Source organism: Homo sapiens, chromosome 16 (assembly GCF_000001405.40).
Source record: "Homo sapiens chromosome 16, GRCh38.p14 Primary Assembly".
Classification (NCBI taxonomy): Eukaryota; Metazoa; Chordata; class Mammalia; order Primates; family Hominidae; genus Homo; species Homo sapiens.
Genome location: NC_000016.10, coordinates 29,919,447 through 29,935,981, shown reverse-complemented (window position 1 = coordinate 29,935,981; position 16,535 = coordinate 29,919,447). Strand labels below are relative to the sequence as shown.

General features: G+C 45.7%; 2 protein-coding genes and 1 long non-coding RNA gene across 10 annotated transcripts in view, besides 1 other annotated feature; 1 reads left to right on the top strand and 2 right to left on the bottom strand.

The window, feature by feature from the left end:
* Positions 1-4,901: 4,901 nt before the first annotated feature.
* KCTD13-DT (KCTD13 divergent transcript) lies at positions 4,902-9,759 on the bottom strand. Of its 2 annotated transcripts, none has more exons than XR_001752362.2 (3): positions 8,300-9,759; positions 8,051-8,215; positions 4,902-7,714 (listed from the first exon to the last, which is right to left on the bottom strand). It is a non-coding gene; the product is annotated as a KCTD13 divergent transcript (long non-coding RNA). The 2 variants fall into 2 exon arrangements; XR_007065037.1 differs by having other exon boundaries at positions 6,919-7,714; positions 8,051-8,166; positions 8,300-9,707.
* The window catches only part of KCTD13 (potassium channel tetramerization domain containing 13), a 19,888-nt gene continuing 13,108 nt past the window's right edge, over positions 9,756-16,535 (top strand). For 3 of the 6 annotated variants that reach the window (NR_110933.2, XR_007064863.1, NM_178863.5), the window contains exons 1-2: positions 9,756-10,192; positions 12,623-12,792. Coding sequence is in view for 3 of the 6 variants with exons in the window: in NM_178863.5 (NP_849194.1) it covers positions 9,949-10,192; positions 12,623-12,792 (414 nt within the window). In the remaining 3 variants the exon portion in view is untranslated. Of the gene's footprint in view, positions 10,193-12,622; positions 12,847-14,020; positions 16,348-16,535 lie in introns of those variants that run through there. The other 3 variants (XR_950767.3, XM_011545783.4, NM_001410898.1) reach the window with 2 other exon arrangements.
* Positions 9,851-10,090: a silencer, noted in NCBI's record as "silent region_7344". NCBI's record gives its function as "represses an Ori minimal core promoter by ATAC-STARR-seq in GM12878 lymphoblastoid cells {active_cell/tissue: GM12878}" and the evidence as "EXISTENCE:reporter gene assay evidence [ECO:0000049][PMID:35858748]".
* Positions 16,118-16,535, bottom strand: part of ASPHD1 (aspartate beta-hydroxylase domain containing 1) — a 19,502-nt gene continuing 19,084 nt past the window's right edge. For both annotated transcript variants that reach the window (XR_007064865.1, XR_007064864.1), the window contains one exon: positions 16,118-16,451. The gene's annotated coding sequence lies outside the window, so the exon portion shown is untranslated. The remainder of the gene's footprint in view (positions 16,452-16,535) is intronic.

The window sequence follows — 16,535 nt, the reverse complement described above, 5'->3', positions numbered from 1 at the left end:
AATTACCGAGTCTCAAGTATCTCTTCATAGCAATATGAAAATGGACTAATACACCCATAATAATTTAAAATTAAAAAATTAGCAGGCCGGGCACAGTGGCTCACGCCTGTAATCCCAGCACTTTGGGAGGCTGAGGAGGGCGGATCACAAGGTCAGGAGATTGAGACCATCCTGGCTAACATGAGGAAATCCTGTTTCTACTAAAAAAAATACAAAAAAATTAGCCGGGCGTTGTGGCGGGCGCCTGTAGTCCCAGCTTACTCAGGAGGCTGAGGCAGGAGAATGGCGTGAACCCGGGAGGCAGAGCTTGCAGTGAGCCAAGATCGTGCCACCGCACTCCTGCCTGGGTGACAGAGCAAGACTCCATCTCAACATCAACAAAATAATAATAAAAAAAAAAAGTAAAAGAATTTTTAAAGTGCAGCAGAAAAAATAATTTTTTAAATGCTATGTGATGCTAATCATCTCCACATGAGCAGTTTATCTCTCCAGTAAATTATGTATTACAGTAAAAAGTGATCTCTTGTGGTTCTCCTGTGTTCTTTATTGTGTTTAGTGCAATACTGTAAGCCTTGTATAACACCACGGGACCCACGTGAAGTGCCACTAGTCATGCTGGAAGTGCTTCTAAGAAGCAGGGGAAAGTCATGACATTACAAAAAAAAGTTCAACTGCTTGATATGTAATGTGGATTGGGGTCTGCAGCTGTGGCTGCCCACCATTTCAGACAGATGATTCATCTTATAAACATACGACATAAACTTATGGTATACATAATACAGTACAGTACCATAAATATATTTTCTCTTCCTATGATTTTCCTAATAACATTTTCTTTTCTCTACTTTACTTTGTTGTAAGACTACAGTATATAATATATAAAACATGCAGAGTATGTGTTAATTGACTGTTTCTGTTATTGGTAAGGCTTCTGGTTCACAGTAGGCTATTGGTAGTTAAGTTTGGGGGGAGTCAAAAGTTATATGAGGCCAAGGCCAGGGGCAGTGGCTCACACCTGTAATCCCAGTACTTTGAAAGGCAGAGGTGGGCAGATCACTTGTGGTCAGAGTTCAAGACCAGCCTGGCCAACATGGTGAAACCCCATCTCTATTAAAAATACTAAAATTAGCTGGGTGTGGTGGCGGACACCTGTAATCCCAGCTATTTGGGAGGCTGGAGCAAGAGAAGCACTTGAACCCAGGAGGCGGAGGTTGCAGTGAGCTGAGATCACACCACTGCACTCCAGCCTGGGTGACAGATCGAGGCTCTGTCAAAAAAAAAAAAAAAAAAAGAAAAAGGCTGAGGTGGGAGGATTGCTTGAGGCCAGGAGTACAAGACCAGCCCAGGCAACATATTAAGACCTTATCTCTACAAAAGAAAAATAGTTATATATGGATTTTCAACTGTGTTGGGGTTGGCACCCCTAACCCCCACAATGTTCAAGGGTCAACTGCAGGAAGACTTGAAAATTGAAATTACTCCTTGGCTTATGGGCTGAAGAACAGATACTGCATTAGTAGGCAGGAAAACAGCATTAATTTCCTTGTACATCTCCATTAGAGCTCTTGGATGACCAGAGGAACTGTCATAATATTTTGAAAGGAATCTCTTTTTCTGAGCACTAGGTCTCAACAGTGGGCTTAAAATATTCCATGAACCATGCTATAAACAGACATGTGGCCATTCAGGCTTTTTTGTTCCATTAATAGGGGACAGGCAGAATGGATTTAGCATAATTCCTCAGGGCCCTAGGACTTTCAAAATGGTTAATGAGCATTGGCTTCAACTTAAAGTCACCAGACCAGCTGCATTAGTCCCTGACAAGAGAGTCAACCTGTCCTTCAAAGCTTTGACTTCTCCTCTCTAGCTATAAAATTCCTAGATGGCATCTTCTTCCAATAGAAGGCTGTTCTGTCTACATTGGAAATCTGTTGTTTAGTAAACCATCTTCATCAATTATCTTACTAGATCTTCTGGATAACTTGCTGCAGCTTCTACACAGCACTTGCTGCTTCATCTTGCACTTTTATGTTCTGCAGATGGCTCATTTCCTTAAATCTCATGAACTAGCCTCTGCTACCTTCAAATTTTTCTCCTGCAGCTTCCTAATCCCTCTCAGTCTTCATAGTAATGAAGAGATTTAGAGCTGTTGTGGCTGTTTTGATCTATTCAGGCCACTAAAACTTTCTCCATATCAGCAATCAGGCTGTTCCAGTTTTTTTTTTTCTTTTGAGACAGAGTCTCGCTCTGTTGCCCAGGCTGGAGTGCAGTGATGCGATCTTGGCTCACTGTAACCTCTGCCTCCTGGATTCAAGTGATTCTCCTGCCTCAGCCTCCTGAGCAAGACTCCACTGCAAAAACAAACAAACAAACAAACAAAAAACACTTGCTCAACACAGGGTTGCCACACATCTTCAATTTGTAAGAAATGCAATATCTGTGAAGAGCAATAAAGTGAGGTGTAATAAAACAAGGAGTGCCTGTGTATAATTTTCATTTAAACAATTTATGAAAACCATCACAATTTACTTAACTCATAAGATCAACATAAATACATTGAGAAGGCTTAAATCATGAGGGCCAGGAGCAGTGAGTGGTTCATGTCTGTAATCACAACACTTTGGGAGGCCAAGGTGGGAGAACTGCTTGAGCCCAGGAGCTCAAGATCAGCCTGGGTAACATGTGAGACCCTGTCTATACAACAACAACAAAAAATTGGCTGGGCATGGTGGTGTGTGCCTGGGGTCCCAGCTACTTGGGAGGCTGAGAGAGGAGGATCTCTTGAGCCCAGAAGGTTGAGGCTGCAGTGAACCATGATCATGCCACTGCAGTCCAGATGGGGTGACAGAGTGGGACCCTGTCTCAGAGAGAGAGAGAGAGAGAAAGAGAATTAACCCTGTTCTTGTACAAACCAAAATATCACGCTGGCATCATTTTTACATGAGTGAATAAAAAATTTAACTGAATCATGCCAAAAGCTCTTCTTTTGTCTTGGAACTAAGACCTTTTTTTTTTTTTTGAAATGGAGTTTTTGCTCTTGTTGCCCAGGCTGCAGTGCAGTGGCAAAATCTCGGCTCACAGCAACCTCCACCTCCTGGGTTCAAGCGATTCTCCTGCCTCAGCCTCCTGAGTAGCCGGGATTACAGGCACCCGCCACCATGCCTGGCTAATTTTTTTGTATTTTTTTTAGTAGAGACGGGGTTTCCCCGTGTTAGCCAGGATGGTCTCGATCTCCTGACCTCGTGATCCGCCCTCCTCGGCCTCCCAAAGTGCTGGGACTACAGGCGTGATAGATCTTTTCTTCTAACTGGAAGAGCAAAGGCTATTACATAAATATACTTTTTAGTGCCTATATGTACAGACACTATATATATATACGTATATACATGTATTTTTTTTTGTATAGACAGGGTCTCACATGTTACCCAAGCTGATCTTGATATACATGTATATACGTATATATATATGATTTTCTGTTTCTTTTAGCATTTTAGGCATTTCTATTTCTTTTAGGACTGGATTTACCTAGACTGTGCACATACAACTGAAAAATTTTTTGATTAGTTAATCTTTAAAGCTTTCCAAGAGAGGTGAGGAAAAAGAGAATGAAATGGACAGCAGGAAAGTGTGAGAAGACAATGAGATACCATCTCACACCAGTTAGAATGGCGATCATTAAAAAGTCAGGAAACAACAGGTGCTGGAGAGGATGTGGAGAAATAGGAACACTTTTACACTGTTGGTGGGACTGTAAACTACTTCAACCATTGTGGAAGCTGGTGTGGCGATTCCTCAGTGATCTAGAATTAGAAATACCATTTGACCCGGCCATTCCATTACTGGGTATATACCCAAAGGATTATAAATCATGCTGCTATAAAGACACATGCACACATATGTTTATTGTGGCACCATTCACAATAGCAAAGACTTGGAACCAAGCCAAATGTCCAACAATGATAGACTGGATTAAGAAAATGTGGCACATATACACCATGGAATACTATGCAGCCATAAAAATTGATGAATTCATGTCCTTCGTAGAGACATGGATGAAGCTGGAAACCATCATTCTCAGCAAACTATGGCAAGGACAAAAAACCAAACACCACATGTTCTCACTCATAGGTGGGAATTGAACAATGAGAACACATGGACACAGAAAGAGGAACATTACACACCGGGGACTGTTGTGGGGTGGGGGGAGGGGGGAGGGATAGCATTAGGAGATATACCTAATGCTAAATGACGAGTTAATGGGTGCAGCACACCAACATGGCACATGTATACATATGTAACAAACCTGCACGTTGTGCAAATGTACCCTAAAACTTAAAGTATAATAATTAAAAAATTAAAAATAAAACTAAATTCCTAGAAATAAAAGCATTTTGAACATAAAAAAAAAAAAAAAGAAAATGTGAGAAGAAGCTACTTCAGACAAACATGAAATTATCACTCCAAAAGGCTAAGGTTATATTCCCTCTGCAAGGAGAAGGAAGACAGTTTAAACACAGGAAAATAGATTTTGACATATAAACACTGTCTTAGTCCATTCTGTGTTGCAATAGAATACCTGAGGGGCTGGGTACTTTATTTTTAAAAATTTATTTCTTACAGTTCTGGAGGGTGGGAATTCCAAAGTCAAGCAGCCACATCTGGTGAGGGCCTTCTTTTTTTTTTAGATGGAGTTTTGCTCTTGTTGCCCAGGCTGGAGTACAATGGCATGATCTCAGTTCACTGTAGCCTCCACTTCATGGACTCAAACAATTCTCCTGCTTCAGCCTCCAAAGTAGCTGGGATTACAGGTGCGCACCACCAAGCCTGGCTGATTTTTGTATATTTAGTAGAGACGGGGTTTCACCATGTTGGCCAGGCTGGTCTCAAACTCCTGACCTCAAGTGATTCGCCCGCCTCAGCCTCCCAAAGTGCTGGGATTACAGGTGTCAGCCACTGTGCCTGGCCGACAGCATTTATTAATATGCAAAATAGGTAAATGAAATATTGCCTATGTTAAACAAAATAATCTTTGTTTTTAACAAACAAGGCAAACAATCTCACAAAGGTTTCTTCCCTTTGTGTTCTGAGGCACCTCCCAAATGAACAATCTTGTTATTATCAAAAGTTCCACCAAATGGCTACGGCAATTACAAACTGTCCCTGGTGAAATTGTGTCAGTTACAGATATATGGGTACATGTTATTGCAATCGTGAGAAAACATGAAGGGAGCAGGTCTTTGGCCCAATTTTAGTTGTGACTGGGGTCTAAAAGAATGGTGCTTATACAACTTCGTATCTCTAGAATGTGGCCAAACACCATCGCTGATCAGAGGCCAGAGAAAGCCCCCTGATACTGAGCAGAAGAAATGAAACAAAGCAGTTTGCAAGGACATAGACAAAACCAAAGAAATCCTTTTCAAGGCTTTGAAATGGTGACCTGGGGCTGGGCGTGGTGGCTCATGCCTGTAATCCCAACACTTTGGGAGCCAGAGGTGGGTGGATCACCTGAGGTCAGGAGTTCGAGACTAACCTGGCCAACATGGTGAAACCCTGTCTCTATCAAAAATACAAAAATTAGCCGGACATGGTAGCAGGCACCTGTAATCCCAGCTACTCAGGAGGCTGAGGCATGAGAATCACTTGAACCCGGGAAGTGGAGGTTGCAGCTGAGCTGAGATTGTCCTATTGCACTTCAGCAGGCAACAAGAGTAAAACTCTGTCTCAAAAAACAAAAACAAAAAAGAAATGGTGACCTGGGCAAAGTTTACCCAAAGGACATTAGTCTGAGAATACCTTCCGAATTGTACAGTCTCTGGAGCTGGTTGTAGGACACACTTACTGGCTCTTGGTTGCTGGAGTGATTTCTCTGGTTAATTCTGATAACAAATAAGACTCTCGGATGCTAACTAGTTGCACAACCCCTCAACAGTTGGCATCCCTACCTTCCTAGAGGGATAAGTTGTGTTCGGTCACCAGAGATTCAGCAATAATAGGTTTGTGATGCCCTTAGACATCCGAGGCTACACATCCATCCTTTTCTTTTCTTTTTTTTTTTTTTTTGAGACAGAGACTTTTTTTTTTTTTTCTCTGTCGCCCAGGCTGGAGTGCCATGGCACGAACTCGGCTCACTGCAACCTCTGCCTCCCAAGTTCAAGCGATTCTCCTGCCTTGGCCTCCCAAGTAGCTGGGATTACAGGCACCTGCCACCACACCCAGCTAATTTTTTGCATTTTTAGTAGTCGGGGTTTCACCATTTTGGCCAGGCTGGTCTTGAACTCCTGATCTCAGGTGATCCACCCACCTCAGCCTCCCAAAGTTGCTGGGATTACAGGCCTGAGCCACCGCGCCCAGCCTACATCCATCCTTTTTATATCGACTTTGCCTCTTATAGACAAACAATATTCAAAATACTAGACAAGAAAACACCATAGGAATGAGTGTAGAAGGACAGAAAACAATTGCACCAAGGACAAAATAAATATTTGATCAGATAACCAAAAATCCAGTGTGGGGGCCTTATTCCAGGAGTAAAAAAACTGAAAAACCAAATAAACCCAATGCTTGGCAGGGCATGGTGGCTCACATCTATAATCCCAGCACTTTGGGAAGCCAAGGTGGGAGGATTGCTTTGAGCTCAGGAGTTTGAGACCAGCCTGGGTAACAGAGTGAAACCCTATCTCTACAAAAAAATATATATATAAAACTTAACCGGCATTCCTGGGTGTGGTGGCTCATGCCTGTAATCCCAGAACTTTGGGAGGCCAAGGTGAGCAGATCATGGGGTCAGGAGTTTGAGACCAGCCTGACCAACATGGAGAAACCCCATCTTTGCTAAAAATACAAAACTTAGCCAGGTGTGGTGGCGCATGCCTGTAACCCTAGCTACTCAGAAGGCTGAGGCAGGAGAATTGCTTGAACCCGGGAGGCAGAGCTTGCAGGGAGCAGAGATAGCGCCACTGCACTCCACTCTGGGAGACAGAGCGAGACTCTGTCCCCCGCCAAAAAAAAAAAAAAAAATTAACCGGCATTGGTTAATTTTAGTGCCAGCTACTCAGGAGGCTGAAACTGGAGAATCACTTGAGCTGGGAAGCAGAGGTTGCAGTGAGCTGAGTCGTACCACTGCACTCCAGCCTGGTCAACAGAGTGAGACCCTATCTCAAAAAGTAAAAAATGAAAAATAAAAAATATGGCCAGGCATGGTGGCTCACGCCTGTAATCCTAGCACTTTGGGAGGCCGAGGCGGGTGGATCACCTGAGGTCAGGAGTTTGAGACCAGCCTGACAAACATGGAGAAACTGTCTCTACTACAAATATAAAATTAGCCAGGTGTGGTGGTGCATGCCTGTAATCCCAGCTACTCAAGAGGCTGAGGCAGAAGAACTGCTTGAACCCAGGAGGCGGAGGTTGCGGTGAGCCGAGATCGTGTCATTGCACTTCAGCCTGGGCAACAAGAGTGAAACTCTGTCTCAAAAATTAATTAATTAATTAATTAAAATAAAAAGTAAACCCAATGCTTAAGGGTATCAACACAATATCAGAACTCAATTAGCTTCCAACCATCAGCAGGTTGGCACCTCAGCGACATAAGCAGTTTCAGGTGTGCATACAATGACGAGTCAAGGGTCCCAGTCCCAGGCAGTGAGGGCTTCAGCTGAATCTTTGTTGCTCCTCCATTTCTGATAGTACCCTCCAACCAAGGACCACCAGGAAGCACCTGTAGTTGAACAAGGGAGGCTGAACACCACAGACATCTCAGCAAGAACATGTGTGAAAGGACTTATTACAGGATTGGAACTTTCATTAGGGGACTTCCTAGGCGGGTCCAAAAAGGGGGGCATTTGCTCTGGGTTGGATGCTATCAGGAAGTAGGGATAATTCTTTTTGGTTATCTTAATAATTCTTATCTAGAAGATGGGAGGAATGAATCAAGCTAAAACTGTACTTGGTAAAGAAGCAGCAGTGGCCAGGTGCAGTGGCTCACACCTGTAGTCCCAGCACTTTGGGAGGCCAAGGTGGGCATATCACCGGAGGTCAAGAGTTCAAGACTCACCTGGGCAACTTGGTGAATCCCCGTCTCTACTAAAAATACAGAAATGATCTGGGCATGATGGTGGGTGCCTGTAATCCCAGATACTCTGGAAGCTGAGGCAGGAGAATCGCTTGAACCTGGAGGTGGAGGTTGTGGTAAGCCAAGATTGCATCACTGCACTCCAGCCTGGGTAACAGAGCAAGACTTCATTTCAAAAACAAAACAAAACAAACAAAAACAACAACCAAAAAAAAAGCAGCAGTAACTTACGCTGTGGGAGAGAGGATTGTGTTGGTAATTTTTGTGGTTTGGACAATGTTCTTGTTTCTGTATTGAGGCTTTATTATGGAATGGTCTTTTTCTAGATCAGTCAGAGAGTGACCTTGTCTGATGTTTTTTGTGAAATTATTTTGCTCAACAGGACACCACCATGGCCGTGCTGTTGGTGCCAGGTCAGCTCCTAGCAACATCAAGGCTTCTGGAGTGAGGGTGCAAACCAGCTCCCAGCTGGCAGCAGTTGCTTTTCTCTTTTACACCGCCACACTCGAAATCAGAAAATTGGCAACCCCTTTGGTAGAACATGAGCTCCCGGTCACTACAGGCCCATTTATACCCAGTAACAGGCCCAGGTCACACATTTACACTCCGACCTTCCTCCTGCGTGTGCATCCCTTACACCAACCACGCCCAGAGAAAAGTCACTCGTCTAGCATCTCCCAGGGACCTGCTGGCAGGGCTGAAGATAGAACTCTGACTCTGTGTTTTCCCTCCAGCAACCCCCCTTGCTAGACATTAAGACAGATTGTTAAATCCCTGATGTATCGGCTTCTAAACTGGATGCAGATCGGGTCAGATAAAAACACTTCTCAGTGCACCTTCTTGTCAACAGTGGGTTCCTATCTATTCTTCTTTCTTTTGGGATTGGGTGCTAGGTCCCACGACATTAGCTGGGATTCTAAGACCTTTGCTCAGCTGCTGCGGCCACCACTGACACGCCCTCTGCTCCTCAAATACGGAGAACAGTTCAGTGTTCCTGCCTGAGGATCTCTGCATTTGCCTTCCCTCTGCCTGGAACTCTTCCCTCACATCCGCTTCCCAGCTTCAGCTCGGCATCACCTCCTCAGAGAGGCCTTCCATCCTTGGTGCCCGGGCACCACTGCTACCCGTTTTGGCCTCTGTTTTTTTTTTTTTTTTCAAAGGACGTTATGTTGCCCAGGCTAGAGTGCAACGGTCCGATCACGGATTACTGCAGCTTCCAACTCCTGGCTTCAAGCGCTCCTTCTGCCTCGGCCTCCCGAGTAGCTAGGCTTACAGGCTGGGGTTACAGGTGTGAGCCACAGCGCCCGGCCGCTTTGGCCTCCTTTAAGAGCTTCCCTCCGCGCTTTGTTCGCAGTTCTGGTCACAGTCTGTTCAGTGCGCGGGGCTGGGAGGCGGGAAACTGCCCAATGCCCAGACCTCTCTGTCTGTTTCCCCTCAAGCTCGTGAAGCTCTCTGACAGCAGAGACCCAATCACGAGGTGGAGACTTCGCTTTCCACATCGGGCAGGGGGTCGGCCGCATCCTCGATCTGGTCCTGGTGACTCGAGACCAGAGAGGAGCGCACGTCGACCCGCCCGGGGAACCCGCAGGCCACACGCCAAACCTCTACGGGATCCCCCAGCGAGGCCACTGCGCATGCTCCATACTCGCAGCCCCGCCCCCATTCAGGGGCGGGGCCGCGCCTGCGCAGCTGCCCGGCGCCGGCTTCCGGGTGGTGCGAGCGAGATGGGGCGGAGGGCCGGTCTTGCAGAGTAGCTGCGGTGAGTGGGCGTGTGCGCCGAGCGGTCTGGCCCAAGGGCTGGGGGCCGGCCGAGGGTCTTCGGGAGCAGGCCGCAGGGCGCGGAGAGATCCTGGGATCGCCGTCCGCCGCTGCTACCCGGCATGTCGGCGGAGGCCTCGGGCCCGGCTGCCGCCGCGGCCCCGTCCCTGGAAGCCCCCAAGCCCTCGGGTCTCGAGCCTGGCCCCGCCGCCTACGGTCTCAAGCCGCTGACCCCGAACAGCAAATACGTGAAGCTGAACGTGGGCGGCTCGTTGCACTACACCACGCTGCGCACCCTCACGGGACAGGACACCATGCTCAAAGCCATGTTCAGCGGCCGCGTGGAGGTGCTGACCGATGCCGGAGGTACGAGCGGCGCCCCTACCGTGCCCCCACCCCAGACCCCCAACTCCCGTTCCCCGCAGTCTCTCACCACCGGGGCTCCTCATGCCCCTTCTCTCTGCCCGCTACTGTCCAGTCAACTCATTCTCAGCTCCCTCCAGCCCCCACATCCCATCTCCTCCCCTTTCTCATTCATAATTTCTCTTCTCCTCCCCCAATCCTTTACCCCCAGCAATAACCAACACTTACGGAACCCCTAACTGCCAGGCGCTGTGGTAAGTGATTGAACGTGTCAGTTCATAATCCTCATGACCACCTCTCCCACCCTTCACCCCTCAGCTCAAGACTTGGGAACTAGCCCTGCTGCCTGCAGTACTACTCCTGGCAGCCTTCCTCAGTTTCTTCCGACTGCCCAGCCTTTTGTTTCCCTCTCTGCTTCAGAACTGCTCACAGCCAGCCAGGAGAGCTGGGAGATCTTGTTTGCCTCTGTGTTCCCCTGACACAGGTCCCTGTACACTCTAGGAATCCACCTGTATACACACATTGCAGAAGGAGGCTGCTTTGGGTTTGCCAGGGACACCAGAGTGGAGGGTGGACAGGTCTCCTTGGCAGGTGAACCTTACCTTCTTGGAGTGTTGCATTCAAGTATGGACCCTTCGTGCCCAAGTGAGACTTTGAAGTTTTGGAGTTTGGGAGTGGGAGAGTCTTAAGGGAGGGGTTAACGAGGACTGTGAGAGCAGGAGAATAAAAATTTGAGAGGCGGAGATCTGCCTTCAAGTATCAAAGGTGAAGAATTCGGCCAGGTGCGGTGGCTCACGCCTTTAATCCCAGCACTTTGGGAGGCCGAGGCGGTGGATCACCTGAGGTCAGGAGTTCGAGACCAGCCTGACCAATATGGCGAAACCCCGTCTCTACTAAAAATACAAAAATTAGCCGGGCGTGGTGGTGTGCGCCTGTAGCCCAGCTACTCGGGAGGCTGAGACAGGAGAATCGCTTGAACCTGGGAGGCGGAGGTTGCAGTGAGCCGAGACAGCGCCACTGCACTCCAGCCTGGGCGACAGAGAGAGACTGTCTCAAAAAAAAAAAAAAAAAAGGGAAGAATTCATTTGTCCAATAAGTATTTGTAAAATATCAGTTAGTGCTGGAGATAGGTAAATGAACCTGACAAAATTATGGAAATTCCCTTTTTTTAGGGAAGTGGGAGATCAGAAGACCAATAAGCAAGTAAACAAAATGTATATGCATATGCAATTGCAGATAGTAGTAAGTTCTTTCTTTTTTCTTTTTTTGATAGTAAGCTCTATGAAGAATATAAAAGTTAAAATGGCAGTGAACTGGACGGGGGGAGGTAGACATTTTAATTAAATAGGATGGTGAGAATTAACTTCGGGGGTTAACAGTTTATTGATAAGGTAATTCTGCAAGAACTTTCTCATGGTGAGAGCCTTCTGACTGTAGACCAGATATGGATGAGTTAATTATCTGGTTGAATATGTATAAAAACTTAAGGGAGAACTCGCTGGAGATGTTTTAAAGAGATTTCTTGGCTGTGGCACAGGTTTGAGACAGATCAGTATTCAGACTTTTTTGTGGCTTTGGAATCCTTTTTCTTTTCTTTTCTTTTCTTTTCTTTTTTTTTGAGATGGAGTTTCACTCTTGTTGCCCAGGCTGGAGTGCAATGGCACGATCTCGGCTCACCGCAACCCCCACCTCCCGGATTCAAGCAATTCTCCTGCCTCAGCCTCCTGAGTAGCTGGGATTACAGGCATGCGCCACCATGCCCGGCTAATTTTGTGTTTTTAGTAAAGACGGGATTTCTCCATGTTGGTCAGGCTGGTCTCGAACTCTTGACCTCAGGTGATCCGCCCACCTCGGCCTCCCAAAGTGCTGGGATTACAGGCGTCAGTCACCGTGCCCGGCCTTCTTTTCTTTACTTTTCTTTTTTTATTTTTTTGTTTTGAGACGGAGTTTCCCTCTTATTACCCAGGCTGGAGTGCAATGGCGCGATCTCGGCTCACTGCAAACTCCACCTCCCGGCTTCAAGCGATTCTCCTGCCTCGCCCCCCCCCGAGTAGCTGGCACCAGCCACCAAGCCCAGCTAATTTTGTATTTTTAGTAGAGATGGGGTTTCTCCGTGTTGGTCCTGCTAGTCTCAAACTCCTGACCTCAGGTGATCTGCCTGCCTCAGCCTCCTAAGGTGCTGGGATTATAGGCATGAGCCACCGCGCCTGGCTGGAATCCTTTTTTCTTATAATTTAGGCCAGGTTTGGTGGCTCACACCTATAATCCAAGTACTTGGGAGGCCGAGATGGGAGGATCACTTGAGCCCAGGAGTTCAAGACCAGCCTGGGCAACATAGTGAGACTCCATCTCTACAAAAATTTTTTTTTAATTTAGTAGCTCCAGGTCCCGCAGCAAAGCCATCTTTCCCCCTGCCTCTCCCCACCCCACTAGGTTGGGTGCTGATTGACCGGAGCGGCCGTCACTTTGGTACAATCCTCAATTACCTGCGGGATGGGTCTGTGCCACTGCCGGAGAGTACGAGAGAACTGGGGGAGCTGCTGGGCGAAGCACGCTACTACCTGGTGCAGGGCCTGATTGAGGACTGCCAGCTGGCGCTGCAGGTGAGGGCCTTCGGAGTCCCCATGCCTATGTTCCTGGGAGAGCTGCCCAAGCAGGTATTAGAGCAGAAAAAAGGAGATATGGGGTATGGCTTGGAGAGCCTGGCTTTGGCTGGCCATAACCCCAGAGAATTTGAGGTGCCATCTTCTGCATCCCTGCCGCCTCAGGCAGCACCCCCACCCCAGCCTCATGCCAGGACCTTTGCAATGGTTAAATAGCTGCTCTCTACTTCCCACTGTTCCTATGCAGCCAGTCCAGCTGTTACACTCGCACCTGAGTAATTATCTTTCAGCACAACCCCGATCTATTCTCTCTCTTGCTTAGAAATCCTAAATAGCTCCCTCATGTCACTAGGGAAAAACATCTAAATTTAAATTGAAATATAATAACCTCTGCGATCTGGCCCTATCCTGGGAGGCAGCATTCTCCCATGGCTTCCGCCCCCCAGGAGCTTTCTAATTCTTTTTTTTTTTTAAACAGTGAAATTCTTTATTCAAATGAAATCTCACAGAAGCAGGGCCACTCCCAGTAAAACAGGGTTGGGGATTCTAGAGACCCCACCTGCTAGGCTCCACTTTTGTGGACCCCTTAGGGTTCTGAGGAGCAGAGCTTGGAAAGTGAAGCCAGGACATAAGGGTTCTGTGTCACCTCTGTCACAGCTGACTCAGTGACCTTCAGTGAGTCCATTCCTACCTCTGGGATTCTGTCCTCGGGTTCCGAAAGACAGGGAAGGGAGAAAAATAAGTACAAAGTAGTGAGTTTTACATAAAGCCTGTTATTCTGTTCTATTTTTACAATGTTAAAAATGTCCTTTCTTTTATGTTACAATAGTAAGAGAAGATTATAAAAGTTTCTTTTTGAATGCCCTTTATAGATTAAAAGGTTGCCTCCCTGAACAACTTTTGTCTCAGGGAATACTTACTGGTTCTTGAAGCCCAAAGGTGTAGAACTCCTTTGGACAATATCCATGTTTTTCAAACTTTTTGATTGCCTGCCATAGGGAAAAAATGCATTTTAGTACTCATTATATATAACTGAAATAACAGTTCTATAAAAAGATACTTTTAGTGAAATGTACTCTGATAATCTTTCTTTTTAATGCTGTTTGGGACCCATTACTTATTTCATGACCCATTAATAAATTACCACTTGCATTTGAGAAACATTCATTGTACTAGATCTTGGAAGTGCATTCCTGCTCTGTAGCATTTTTGTTTTGTTTTGAGACAGAGTCTCTCTGTCGCCCAGGCTGGAGTGCAATGGCGTGATCTTGGCTCACCGCAACCTCTGCCTCCCAGGTTCAAGCAATTCTCCTGCCTCAGCCTCCCAAGTAGCTAGAATTACAGGCGCCTGCTACCACGCTTTGCTACTTTTTTGTATTTTTAGTAGAGACGGGGTTTCACCATGTTTGTTAGGCTGGTGTCGAACTCCTGACCTCACGTGATCCATCCGCCTTGGCCCCCCAAAGTGCTGGGATTACAGGCGTGAGCCACCGGCCTGTAGTTTTAAATTTACTAATGTTAAAACTAAAGTTTTAAAACCCGGCCTGTAGTTTTAAATTTACTAATGTCATCATGTACCCACTGTGTGTCAGGAGCAATTCTGCTATCTGCTTGTGTATACATCTTGTATCCTTGTTTGACGTAAAAAGAAACGCGAGGGAGCTTGGAAGACGTGTCCAAGGTGAAAGAGCTGGGAAGCAGCAGAGCTCAGATTTGACCCCAGGCTACCTGACTATCTGACCTTCAGCCTCCCAAGAGCTGTACTTTTCTATACTCCTGCTCTCTCCTTTCCAGGTTCCCTCTGCACCTCACGCAGCTCAGCACACTCCTCAGTGTGTGGCACTTCATCAATATTGGTCTATGCAAACCTTTTGTCTTTTAGTTTTATTTCTTTCCCTTCATTCCCAGTCCCCTGCCTACTTTCCTTTTTCCCAGGGGCACCCATCCAATTTTAATGTTTTGATACATATGCTCGAAAAGCTAAAGCATTGTTCTGCATATGTGTGCATTTTAAATGTCCATAAATGGCATTGAAGCTGTGAATCAGTTTCTGTTGCATTGTGTTTTTTTAATTCAGCACTTTTTTTCAAGATCTATTCATGCTGCTCCAAGTACATCTAGTTCTTTGCTTCTAACAGCTGCAGAGAAATCTGCGGTGTTCATTCACCATATTTTGTTCATACATTCCCCTGAGGTTGGAGACCTAGATTGCCTTCCAGTTCCTGCCCCTACAAACCGTGTCACCATGAGCATCCTGGTACATGCTCCCTTCTGATTCTGTGCCAGTCTCCTGTCATTGTAGCTGGGAGTAGAATTGCTGGATAACAGGACACCTGCAAACGGCGTTTTAGTAAATATCATCTAATTGCTCTCCCGAATGGTTATAATACTTTATCCTCATAATGAGCAGTGCATAAGAGATTACATTTCTGCATGTCCTCATCAAGACATGGCATCATCCAGCTTTCTAATTTTGCCAATCCAATGAGTGTAGCGTGATCTCATTTTCATTTGCATGCCTCTGATTACTAATGAGGTTCAGCATCTTTTCATATACTCACTAGTGTTTTTTTGTTTCCCTTCCTGTGAATTGCTTATTCATGTTCTTTACCAGATTTTCTGCTTTTTTCTTTTTCATGTTGCTTAGCAGGAGATCCTTGCATATTTTAGTTTAGTTCCTAGGGATAATTAAGCCCTACTGCATATGGGTATGTCTTATACATTCCCTAGGGCATGGATTATATACATAACAAATTAACCTCTAAGCCTGTAGCATGGGACTATTTACCTACTGTTCTCAGCAAAGTTCAGAAAACACTCAAATTATTTGCTGTTTTTTTGTTTTTGTTTTTGTTTTTCTTTTTTTGAGGTGGAGTCTTGCTCTGTCGCCCAGGGTGGAGTGCAGTGGCGCGATCTTACCTCACTGCAACCTCCCTCTCTGGGGTTCAAGTGATTCTCCTGCCTCAGCTTTCCGGGTAGCTGGGACTACATGTGTGCACTACAATGCCTGGCTAATTTTATCATATTTTTGGTAGAGATGGAGTTTCGCCATGTTGGCCAGGCTGGTCTCGAACTCCTGACCTCAAGTGATCCACCTGCCTTGGCCTCCCAAAGTGCTGGGATTCAGGCGTGAGCCACCGTGCCTGGCCATATTTGCTGGTTTTTGAGATTCAGATGAGGAACTTCAGTTGAAAAAGTCTGTTCTAGATAAAAATTTCTAGTCAATGTAGATATCGCCAATATTTTTTCTTAGAATGTCACCCACTTGTGGCATCTAGCATTGAATGGAAATCCTTGATTTTTTAAAATTACAAATAACCATTGATTATTTTAAAGCAGTATTTATTAATTGTAGAAATTTCAGAAACACAAATAATCTAAAAAATAAAAGCACCAAATATTCTTCCAGGTCGTTTCCTGTGTGAGAGTATGTGTGTGTGTGTGTGTTTGCTTGCCAAAATACAATCGTGTTGTATGAAATGTTTTATAATCTGTTTTTTGTTGTTGTTAATAATTGCCATCTTTACATGTCAATAAATTTTTATTTAATATCCAGTCCAGGGCATACTCCGGTTTCTCCAGTTGTTCCAGAAATGTGTTTTTACAGCTGGTTCATCAAACCAGGGTCCAGTCTAGATCTTCACGTTGCATCTGGTTATCTGCAAGTTAACAATGGAAAGCATGACTTTACAAATAGTTTCATGTAATAATGTTGAAGAGATGATAAGAGTTATAGGTATTCT